The sequence below is a fragment of the Homo sapiens genome, chromosome Y (assembly GCF_000001405.40).
Source record: "Homo sapiens chromosome Y, GRCh38.p14 Primary Assembly".
NCBI classification, from domain to species: domain Eukaryota; kingdom Metazoa; phylum Chordata; class Mammalia; order Primates; family Hominidae; genus Homo; species Homo sapiens.
In genome coordinates this window covers 6,865,520-6,878,208 of record NC_000024.10, presented here as the reverse complement: position 1 = coordinate 6,878,208, position 12,689 = coordinate 6,865,520, and the positions used below count along the sequence as shown (strand labels likewise).

At 37.0% G+C, this 12,689-nt stretch overlaps 1 protein-coding gene across 2 annotated transcripts in view; it reads left to right on the top strand.

Moving 5' to 3' along the window:
• AMELY (amelogenin Y-linked) overlaps positions 1-12,291 on the top strand; it is a 45,835-nt gene extending 33,544 nt beyond the window's left edge. The window contains exons 1-7 of one of the 2 annotated variants that reach the window (NM_001364814.1): positions 4,182-4,237; positions 5,589-5,654; positions 8,156-8,203; positions 9,300-9,341; positions 9,433-9,477; positions 9,747-10,172; positions 12,131-12,291. In NM_001364814.1, the coding sequence (NP_001351743.1) occupies positions 5,601-5,654; positions 8,156-8,203; positions 9,300-9,341; positions 9,433-9,477; positions 9,747-10,172; positions 12,131-12,136 (621 nt within the window). In that variant the 5' untranslated portion in view covers positions 4,182-4,237; positions 5,589-5,600 and the 3' untranslated portion in view covers positions 12,137-12,291. Of the gene's footprint in view, positions 1-4,137; positions 4,238-5,588; positions 5,655-8,155; positions 8,204-9,299; positions 9,342-9,432; positions 9,478-9,746; positions 10,173-12,130 lie in introns of those variants that run through there. The other variant, NM_001143.2, reaches the window with a different exon arrangement.

Here is a 12,689-nt window from a genome sequence, read left to right as displayed (position 1 = left end):
ATAATCTTATCCTCAGTAAAAAGTCCCTGTGGAAATCCTTGAAAGGGGAAAAGAGGACTTGTTGCTGGATAATTATTGTGGTCCTTTGGTGATGTCATATTTTCTTACTTTTTCTTGTTTTGGTGTCCTTATGTTAGGATCTACACATCTGCCATAACAGATGCTTCTTACAAGTTTTTGAAATTGCTCTGATAGGGGAGAATTTTTTCCTGAAGGTACACACACACACACACACACACACACAATTGTTTGAGACATTTGGCTTTGATTTTGGGTACCTGCAGTTGTGTAATCTCTGTATGATTTCTTCAGTACTAAACAAGTTCAGTGGTGTCTCTGATTTGCTCAGTGGCTTAAGGTATGGTTATTAGTTGACGTTATGGTGAAGTTTTTCTGGGGACTGTGATACCAGGTAGGTTAATGCCCCCAGTAGCAGTGGTACATCAAGCATCCCTGTTCATAGCCATCAATGCAGCTTAAACAGGCACCAATGTTACTGGGTCCTGGAAAGTCAATTCTTGGACCACTGGACGGCTTGTTTAGACACTGGTAGTGAGAGCAATGATCTGGGTGGCTAGGTGGATTCTCAGGTCCCCGTCCAGCTGGTATGATATATGTTATAGCAGTACCAGTGGTGGAGGAACACATAGGGAACCAGAAGCCCATGTTGGTGTTGCTGGTAGCTGTGATGTATTGGTTAGGATAGTTCTCTAGCTTGCTGGTGGCATGAATGGATGGGTGTCATCTGTGGCAATATCAATAGATTGGCTCCGTCTGACTACAGACCCTGGCAGAAGTGATCAGATGTGATTGGTGATGGGCTGGGCCAGGATATTTCCGGGCTCCTGGATAACATATTAGAGCCCTGGGTCTGGGGCTTCTCTTTAGGGCCCTGGTAGTATCTTCGCACACTGGCTGTGACAGACAGGCATTACTGGAGGAATGCTCTAGTGTGGGATGATATGGTTGGTGCATTGTGAGCCTACCACCAGGGAGAGGGGCCTCTCAGGTGGAACAGCATGGGTAAGAAGCTAAAGAAGCTGTGGGGAGTTAAGACTTTTCATGCCCTAGTCTCACAGTAGCCCACAGCAGAGTGGTGGGAATTGTCTTATGTTTGTCTAACAGTCTGGTCTCACCTGTCCTTTCTTGGTCACATGGTAGCTGCAGCCATGTCTGTTTGGACTCAGCCCCAGTGTGGAGCACATCCTAACCTTAAATTCTCAAGATGGTGCCATGAACCCATGAGTAGAAAGGGCAGGGTTTCTCTCTGGCGAGTTGCATGAGTAAGAAGTTGTGAGGACTGTTGACTTATCACACCCTGGTCCTACAGTATGCTGTAGCAATAGGGTAAGGATTGTCCTAGTGGTCTGTGGGAGTGTCCCTTCTCTCCTCTCCCTTTTTGGCCCAGTGGCAGCAGCCATTTCAGTTCTGGCCTCTGGGCAGGAGTAGATCCCAGCATGTAGATTCTTAGAATCGTGCCAAGCTGTAGCTGCTCTGGGCTCATGTCTGTGGGATTCTAGATGTGTTCCCTTTCTGGAGCAATGTCTCTGTGCAATGTCTAGGTCTCTCCCTATGTTAGGCCTGAGGCTTACATGGATCAAGGGTATCTCCCATAGTCAATAACACTCTTGCAGAAGAGTGGAACCCTGGGGATTTCTCTTTTACTCTTTTTCCATATTTAGGAGCTTCTCTTAATCTCTGGCTGGGCAAGCTACCTTAAGCCCTTTTATTATGTGCTTTCAGTTATTCTTATCACTTGTCTGTTCAACCCTAGGATTCTCTCTTAGACAATGTGTTTAAAGTGTGAATATCACTGGCTATTGGGTTTTCTCTCCATGGAAGTTGTACATATTAGCAATATCTAATCAGCTATTTTGATCCTCTTCCTCAGGAAGTAGTCAATACAATAACATATTTTCTTTTTAAAATTCAACTTATTCATAAATGAAATTTTTGTTTATATAAAAAATTTTCTACTGAAATTTTGTCCTCTCTTCCAAAACAGCTGATAATTTTTAAATGTTTAAGGCAGACCTAAATGGAGAGATTTCAAGCAGAGTTATCCATATGTTAAGACTGTATGAATTAGGATATTCAGTTGGGAAAAACAAATAGAATCATACTGTTTTTGTGATACTGGTCATCAAACTCTGGATAATTCTCGACAGTGAATCAGAAACAAGAATTCTGTTGTTTACATTGAACAAATATATAATTTCTTATCATTCAAAAATATGAGACAACATAAAAAAATACATTGTTAAAGCCAAAGACCTCTACTTTTTGTTTTCAATCATTTCTTTAGTAGAGCTCACCCATAATTTTGTAGAAAAATTTCTTAATCCTTTTAGGAACTTCAATAAACATAAATAAAATGAAATAAAAATAAAATAAAATAAAATAAATTGAAGGAGAATATGTATTATACTTCCCTTCTCTCTCCTTTTACTCCCTCACTCTCTCACCTCTTCTCTACAAATACGCTAAAGCCTGTTTTCTTAAAACTTAGTGTTACAATTTCCTTCAAAGCGTATTCTTGCCTTCAATATACAATTCACCAATAAATATATTCATAAATACAAATACACCCTGGGTACTGCTGGCATTTAGAACTATATTCTATCTTGGGTACAGCTGGCATTTAGAACTATATTCTACGTTCACTTTAACTCATCTGTGTTGCCCTTTATAATCTTCTACATCTTTCTGTATAGCAAGAAGTAGAAGGTGATAGGTTTACCTTTCTTCCTTTTAGCTTGAAAGATTTACCTTTCTTCATAAAAATTATTCATTTCTTGCTAATATCCCCACATCATCCTAGAATCTTATTTTCATCTTTAAAAAATTTCTAAGTGCCATGTGGTGAATTAGGACAGGTAATAACTTTCCATTTACTAAGGATGTCTCTCTCTAATTTTCATGCTAATTCTATTAAAAGGGTTTTATTACTGTTCCCAGTTTATATATGAAGAAACTGTGGCTCAGACAGGCTAAATAACTTGAAGGTTGTCCCTTGGTGAAACTTGGGTAAGGTGAACCCACATGCATTTATATCATAGCATTAACTATTATACACATGATTTTCATACATATTTTGTCCTTGAATTTAATTCTTCAAATTTGGCTCATGTATATGGTATAATATTCATATGCAAAAAGTTTATAAATATTAGCTAAGTATTCAAAGAGATTCAGCTATAATATTAGTTGTATCTGGGTATTACTATTTCCTTTATTAATTTAATATTGATAGACATCATTCATTATCTCTCGATGCTAGATTTTTAATTGATCAGATATAAAATAAAATCATAAATGTTTGTGGTTCACTAAGATGAAAGTGTTATAAAAAAGCATGCGTTTAATAGATCACAGTCCTCAGAGACGGACAGACTTTTCTTGTTTTTGCTTAGGCAAAGTAGAGCTTATTAAAAATATGAAAACAATGCAACTAAAGAGACACTAAAGAAAAAGAAAATCTGTTTCATGCATGAAAGAAAGCAGAAATGGGCTAGAAGTACACGGGCAAAGAAGGCCATCATACTTAGAAAGGTTGATACGCTATGTAGGATGAAGTAGCCAGGGCAATATGCCTTATGATAGGTGTTCCTAAGTATTTAAATATATTTTGATGTGTGCTGACCAATGTGTAAAATCCCTCTTGTCTTGCCTTTTAGATCATGCATAAAAGTTTTGCTACTATGATAACCTTGAATTTGTTTAGATAATAAATAGTTGCAGATCACACCAGAGAGACTTTTGGCGCTTTTCTGAACACCAGAGTGGTGACAAATGAGTAGCAACAGGGAACAAAGGACATACCTTTAAGGAAAGCAAAAAATACAGTTGTAGTGATTTTAAAATTTTAATCGATCACAGGCAATGACATAAGATCCTCTTAAACATAAGTCTGAATGTTTTGGCATGTGCAAGCTACAAATTTGCTGACTTAAAAACAGTGCAATGAAGTTCCTTTTGCCTGTTAAACATATTATTGACTATAATGAAGAACTATATGGACTAATCACAATATACTACCTTATATTTAGCCATGGTTGCAAAAAAATTATGATGATACAGGAATTTTTAGTCATATTCAACACATTTTTTCTTCACAAATCTGATTGGTTGTTGTAGATACCTTGAAGGATATAAATTGAGCTCATAGTTAAAGAAAATCTAGAGGACCAAGCCTCCCTGTGTAGCACAAAGAAAGTTTCTCTGAATATATTTAAAGGTATGTGGATTTTACATATTATTTTGTGTCCTTTTTATTCTGCTTCTTTTCTGTAATTCATATTTAATAGATGCAAATAAATTCCATGTTTCTAATACTTTATGCTGTTAAGAATCAGTTACTTCTGTTGGATTATAATTAAATTTGACTCTCATTATGTAATTTTTTTTTTTACTTTATAATGCTTCAAAGCATTTGTCTATATGTGTATTTAAATTTTAATTTTAGAAACCAAAAGGAGTTCCTGGAAGCCAAACTCACTTGTAAACTAAATTGAAATAATACTTTAAGGCTATCTTTATTACTTTTAACACTTTTTTTGTTAAATACATCAAATAATACCTTATTTCATACTAAAACCATCATCTAAAACTTTATCTCTTTTTAAAAATTATTTCAAGTTTAATAACACACATTTAGGATACAACATCAATGTAGTACTCATATCAGCATTACTACATATTATATTCACTGTCTTTACCAAAATTAATGTCTTTTTACTTAAAGATTTTTAAAGTTAGTCAATAATTTGAGCCATGAAGCATTGTGCATGTGTTTAAGTGAACAAGTTTTAATTCATATCTCACATCTCTAATTTGTAGAGTAATTAAATTAGAACATATATCAAAGGGAAGATACCATGAAATAAAATAGAATCTTTGAGATATAAATAATCCAAAACTTACTGAAGAATCAATAAATTCACAGATTATTGTTTTCTTTGCCTTTCTGTTTAACCTCATCTTTTGCTATGCAGACCCCCTGAGCTCAGACATTTTACCTGCCTGAAGCTCTATAAGGCTAGAAATCCCTGTCATTTCTTAATCTGTTTTGGCAAATAACTTAGATTTTTTTCCCTCAAATCATCAGTCTTTGTTTTTAACAATATCAATACCTAGATGGATAATATAAGAAATATTTCTCAGCTCCTCATTTTAAAATAATAAAATGCTATGTAGTAATGGGTAAATACCTACCTTGACGGGCTCTTGAACCTTAAGAGCCAAATTTGTTCCTTTGATTATTAATTAAAAATTATACTTAGCTTATATGGCTTTACAGGACCATGCAGACAGACAGGAATATGGCATTCCAAATTACATAACAACATGATTTATTTTCCTCAACTTGTTCAGTTTCCAACCTAAATGAAAAATGATTTTATGCTAACTACTGTGACTCCAAAACAATAAAATGGACTGAGAACTTGAAATCAAATAAGAAAAATTAACCTTGCAAAGAATATCCTACTTGCTACCCACAGACAAATGCAGATTATGTTTTTTAAGGCACTTTATGGTGCACATGTTTGAGAAGAGATGAGAAAAGCACTTGCTGATTTTCATTTCAGAACCATCAAGAAATGGGGACCTGGATTTTGTTTGCCTGCCTTGTGGGAGCAGCTTTTGCCATGCCTGTGAGTAAAACATTCTTTGCATAAGTTGTGTCCAATTTACAAACGTGGAAATAAGAATTTGTCCCCCAGCTGGGAAACTTTAAGGTTTAAAACAGTTTGAGCTAAGAGGCCCCAAAACATCTGTGCTGAAGAAACACTTTGGGGAATGAAAAAATAGATTATCTCTTCCTAGCTTATTTTGCTTAGTATAATGTCTTTCATGCTCATTCGCATCTTTGTAAATGTCAAGATTTTATTCCTTTTTAAGGCTGAATAGTGTTCCATTGATTAGCCTCATTTAATCTTTCCACCCTGTAAATATATATCAAAACATCATATTGTACACCATGAATATATATAACTATTATGCACCCACAAAAATTTAAAAATAAATCTATTAATTAAATAAATAAAATAGCTTCTGAGATGCCTCCACTAGAGGTTCTGATTTGGTACAGCTGGGGTTGGGCCCAGGACTCTATTTTCACAAGCACCCCAGGAGATTCAGTTGATACCATTAGCCTGGAAATATCACCACCCATTTCTACATGGAGGAAGTTTTTGGTTTTTGTAGGTTTTTTTGTTGTTGTTGTTGTTGTTGTTGTTGTTGTTGTTTTGAGATGGAGTCTTGCTCTGTCGCCCAGGCTGGAGTGCAGTGGCACAATCTCAGCTCACTGCAACCTCTGCCTCCCAGGTTCAAGCGATTCTCCTGCCTCAGCCTCCTGAGTAGCTGGGACTACAGGAATGTGCCAGCATGCCGCGCTAATTTTTTGTATTTTTAGTAGAGACGGTGTTTCACCATGTTAGCCAGGATGGTCTCGATCTCCTGACCTCATGATCCACCCGCCTCGGCCTCCCAAAGTGCTGAGATTACAGGCATGACCCACGGCACCTGGCCTGGAGGAAGCTTTTGAAAGGGACTCTTGAAAGGTCTCCAGAGAAAGTGCTTAATCAGCCTTATAAAAATATTACCAAAATGCCCGTTTGGTCTAAAACCTAATTCCTCTCAAGTTTCCAGATATCTTCTTGCCCTCCACATATTACTGCTGTTACCACTTGAAGGGTAAGATTTCTGTGTTAGGAATCCACTTCTAGAAACATCTTGACTATTCTCAGAAGTCCTACCCCTTTGGGTGCATCTGATAAGTATGTGGCTTTCTTGTGGTTGTCCAGGATCCCACCTACACCCAATATATAGTGATGTATTTTGTATTTAAATGTATTAAACACCAGGGTGTCACTCTCACTCTGTCTGGACACAGGTGCATAAAGGCAGAGAACTTAGATCATATGCATGCCAAGCAGCCTGCATATACTTTTTGGTGGCATAAAGAGCAGTTGATACAACCAGAAGCCAGCAAGCTTCCACACCTACCTCCTCTCTTCCTCTCTCACCCACAAAACCAAGATTCTGTGCTCTGCCTTCCTGAAATCCTGCACTGTGGCAATCCCTAGTCTTCTCAGGAGTCCCGGCATTACGAATTCAGCCCTTTTCCTGCTCTCTAAGATGGTATCGATCAAAAGGGTATAGGACCTGAATAAAACCATTCACATGCAGATGAGAGTGAATAAACCCCTCCTATGAAATGTGAGAATTTTGAAATAATATAATATAGCCAGTCCTAAATGAGGTCAATATCTGAGGGAGATTTTCTTCATGATTGTCTCTCTTCTTCACGTGGACCCCGGGTGCAACCAGAGTTCCACAAGGCAGGCGCCAAACACTTGGCTTCCACTTTTGAGAGGATAGACAGTCCTGATTCAGATTATCATTCATGTGGCCTTTTATTTTTAACTTAAAAATTTTTTTCTGCCATAAAAACACTGGGAGAATCATAAAAAAGATTGGCCTAAATAAACTCTTTCATTTTTCCATTGGATTTATAATGTTTCTACTTTCTCCACCCATCTTGTTCTGGCATTCATTAATTTCCACCTTGTGGTTTCTTTTGTGGCTTCTTTTGTTGTATGGATGTGTTGTTTACTTTGCCTGTCAATTATGAGAAATCCCTTAGATACTTACAGTACTTGACCACCTCCTGATCTACAAGGGAACATTTGTGAGACAACTGCTTGTTGATATTTCTTTACCGTGTAAAAGAAACATACTTCACTCCCCAACATGGGATGAGTTTTATCAGCAAGTAAACTGTTAGACAGGATAAGGTAGAATTCATTGACAGCACTGGGGTGGGAGAAGGATGTTGTTTGATCACTGGAGAATAAATGTGTCCTGGTTTCTGCTTCCAGGTCTCCAACTTTAAGACTATAACCCCAGGGACAATCATTTAGCTATTCTAGACCTCTTTAAAATAAGAAGTCTCCTCTCCTACATAGCACACTTGTTTTAACGAAAAACAGACCTCAAATATATTCTGTACTATATAGATTTTTTAAAAGTAATTTTAGTCTCTCTTAATGTTAACAATTGCATATTGACTTAATCTCTTACTCTCTCTTCCCTTCCTTCACACTCTCCCTTCCTCTCTCTTTCTCTTCTCCTCCCCTCCTCCCTATAAAAGCTACCACCTCATCCTGGGCACCCTGGTTATATCAACTTCAGCTATGAGGTAATTTTTCTCTTTACTAATTTTGATCACTGTTTGCATTAGCAGTCCCCTGGGCTCTGTAAAGAATAGTGGGTGGATTCTTCATCCCAAATAAAGTGGTTTCTCAAGTGGTCCCAATTTTACAGTTCCTACCATCAGCTTCCCAGTTTAAGCTCTGATGGTTGGCCTCAAGCCTGTGTTGCTCCAGCACCCTCCTGCCTGACCATTCGGATTGACTCTTTCCTCCTAAATATGGCTGTAAGTTTATTCATTCATGAACCACTGCTCAGGAAGGTTCCATGAAAGGGCAAAAAGTCAACTCTGACTGACCAGCTTGGTTCTATCCCATCCGGTAAAATGTAAAGATTAGGTAAAATTACTAACTTTGGGCAAATAATTTCCTCTCTTTGGAACCCTGGTTTTCTCATTTGGACAAGGGAAATTACTGTAATATTCACATTTCAAAATATTGGAGAATAATATAGTTAACAATTATAAAAACTGCTTTGTCAAGTATAATATGAGCAAGGTAACTGATTTTTTTTATTGATTACATGCTGTATTACCATATAAAGAATCCCCAAACCTAAGGTTAACTAAGTGTGTATACTGTTCAGAAAGGAATAAAATTCTTACTTCTCTCATAGGTTCAGGTAACAATCTGTGAGTTTATTTACTTACACAAGCTGCTGACAAATGTTAATAAGAATCTGAGGCAAGGTTTTCTGTTAAACCTAAAAGATTGACAAATTTGATCAGTAAAATCTGTGTTTTTAGGTTGAGGGACAGTGTTTGCACCGCTTTTTTCCCCATTGTGACATCAAAGGAAAGATGAAATTAACATTATGTCACATTATTGCGGCATAATTTTATGTTTGCTTTGCTCTTACAATGAAAAGCAGGACCTATGGAAATAAACAGATTTACTCCCTTTGTAACTTCAGTCAAGTTAATGAATCTCTTTAACTTCCCATGACCTTATCTAAAAAGTGAGAGTAACAATACTTGCCTCCTAGCATATAAGGAAAGATGAAGAATGTGTGTGATGGATGTAAACACAGTGCCTGACACACAGGAAGTACCCAACAAATGTTTTACCTTCTTCTTTCTCTTGTAGAACTCACATTCTCAGGCTATCAATGTTGACAGGATTGCTTTAGTGAGTCTATATTTCCTACCGCATCAGTGAATTTCTGCATGGGATGAAAGTAAATTAAATCAAATGGATTCTAATATATCTTTCTCTTAAGGTGCTCACCCCTTTGAAGTGGTACCAGAGCATGATAAGACCACCAGTATGTAGACATTTTGTTCTTTATTCCCTGAAAATATTAGGCATGCATTTAAATTCCCATTTTAAGAAAATACCATGTGTACTCCACATACAGACACTAATGGGAAATTTAGTTTGTAAAAAATCATGTCTGTGTACACAGTTACAAATTTTTGCAAAGGAAAGATAAATACAATATTCCTATGGCCATAATGGCAAAGACAACACTGCTGCTTCTCTGGTTGGAGTCACGTGAGCCAATGGTAAACCTGCATCTCTGTTTCTCACCAGTACTCTTCCTATGGTTACGAGCCCATGGGTGGATGGCTGCACCACCAAATCATCCCCGTGGTGTCCCAACAGCACCCCCTGACTCACACCCTGCAGTCTCATCACCACATCCCAGTGGTGCCAGCTCAGCAGCCCAGGGTCCGCCAGCAAGCACTGATGCCTGTTCCTGGCCAGCAATCCATGACTCCAACCCAACACCATCAGCCAAACCTCCCTCTGCCTGCCCAGCAGCCCTTCCAGCCCCAGCCTGTTCAGCCACAGCCTCACCAGCCCATGCAGCCCCAGCCACCTGTGCAACCCATGCAGCCCCTGCTGCCACAGCCACCTCTGCCTCCAATGTTCCCCCTGCGGCCCCTGCCCCCCATACTTCCTGATCTGCATCTGGAAGCTTGGCCAGCAACAGACAAGACCAAGCAGGAGGAAGTGGTGAGTACACCTTGAAGCCACTACAATGCAAATCCTGTGAAAATGGTGCAGCAAAGTTGGCCCCAGAGTTCTAAGGGGTCCAACAACTCAGGGTCTAGAGTTGTAGTAGTTACAGATCTATGATTCTATTAGTCCAAGTAATATGTTGTATCTTTACATTATAAACAAATTTATCTAAATGGCTTGGTAATTAAGAACACAGTTTTTATGATAGGTTTAAATTTTATTATTATTGAATTTCTACCAGACTGTATATTATGACAACCCATTAATAGAAAAATATATTATTAAACCCTCTTAATTTTAAGGGCAACAGCAATAAGGGAATATCAGTTCTTTCATTTCAAAGATTTGACTCACAAGAAGAGGCTAGAATTGCAGTGAAGGCTTAAGATAAGATGGGGTGGGTAATTTTTAGAGTGCATATATTTGAACAAGCTATGAAAGGTAGATGGGAAATCTCTTTAAAAAAACCTATACGAAGGTTTCCCATTTTCAGTAGTTTTCAGTCTAACTTGGAGGAGGCTAAACTAAACATGCTGTTAGAGTCCTTTTTAGTGCTGAGATTCTATAGATGATTAAGCTTTTAAAAAGAAGTTACCTCAATTTATGACTGAATCTCCCATTACAAGAAGCACTTACAAATGAATGGGAATAATCAATAAAAAAACTTTATCCACATCCATAAAATCTTATTTCTACGTATATAAGATTATGTGATCTATCACTTATATGTATCCAACTGTAATTCCAATTTATACAAGCTATTGATGATATACTACTGAGAAGCAGAGAAAAGTGAGGTGGAAATGACCAGGATAGACAGCCAGGACAGCTAGGTTCAAGTTCTGGCTTTGCCCTCAAAAAGGAGGCACTATTGTAAAAGTTACTTCAAATGTGTGAGTATTTTCGTTTCTTTTAAATGGGGGAAAATGACAAAATCAGATCATTTTCAAGCCTCTGTCCAGGTATAAATGTGATAACTTCTGAATTAAAAAATCATAATATATGTTATAAATGGCTTAATAATTGTGAGCATGTTTACAGAGAATATGGGGCAGAATTTTTGAAAATTGATTGAGGCTGGGTGGGGTGGCTCACACTTGTAATCTCAGCACTTTGAGAAGCCCAGACAGGTGGATCACCTGAGGTCAGGAGTTTGAGACCAGCCTGGTCAACATGGTGAAACCACATCTCTACTAAAAACACGAAGGGAAAAAAAAAAGTTAGTTGGGCGTGGAAGCAGATGCCTGTAATTCCAATTACAAGGGAGGCTGAGGCAGCAGAATTGTTTCAACCGAGGAAGTGGAGGTTGCAGTGAGCCAAGATCGTGCCATTGAGCTACAGCCTGGGTAGCAAGAGTGAAACTCCGCCTCAAAAAAAAAAAAAAAAAAAAAGAAAGGAAATTGATTGAATCCCAAGTAATCTGACGACTATCATTGGCTATTCTAGTCTAAAGCACATGTTCTCTCTGTGCATAGAAAATGCATTTATTTATCTCCTTATTAAGAATTAACACCGTGGATTTATAATGTGCTCACACCTTGACAAAGCTATTTATGGAAAGGTGACTTTGGGCAGATAGTTTGAACTCTTTAAAACTCAGTTTCTTTTCGTATAAAATTTGAGTATAAATAATAGTTTCTTAGAGTTGTTTTAAGAAAAATAAAATAGCATGGTGAGCTTGGAACCTGGCATGCAAGAATTACTCAAAGAAAGGTAGCAATTGTTATTTTGTTATAAAATAATAGGCTTTAAGTGTTCCAAAGGTAGAAGAAGGCTTCATGGACACCTAATATCTAATGACAACGAATGAACAAAGAAACTTTGGAAATTATAGAGTTCAACTTAAGTGGTTGTACATTGGTTTGACAAAACCGAAGGCATACATGTATTGTAAATGGTACTCACTGGAAACAATTAAATTATTTAATTGTTCCTTTTGCTATTTTTTTCAGGATTAAAAGACCAGAATATGAGACAGGAACTGAAGTAAACACTTTAGTTGCTTTCAGGGATGACACAAGCACACAATGATTTTTGCTTACAATCACTTAACTTAGCAAATTCTGTAACTAAAAATGTACCAATAGTAGACAATAAAATGTTTTAAAAATCATTCATGTCTTTGTGTTGAATGAAACTTAAATTTTCCTATCATTTGAGACAACATATTATGAATGAGTATTCTTGAATAAGGTAAGAACTGCTCATTTACTCATACAAATTCACCATTTGGCAAGCAAATAGGGACTATATTTCTTTTTAGAGAAAACTGAAATTATACTACGTCAAATCTTTTTAAAAAATGAAGTTTACACATCAGTTAAAATCGTTGATAAAATAAAAATGTATGAACATATACAATCACTGAAACCTGAACCAAATGAAGGGAAGTTTATATGACAATTTCTTTGCATTTAAAAAGATAAACTTTTGAAGACTGTATTACAAAACAAATTAGGATATGGAATACTGGTTGTGTACTTCACACCACATCAGCAATCAAAATCTGGT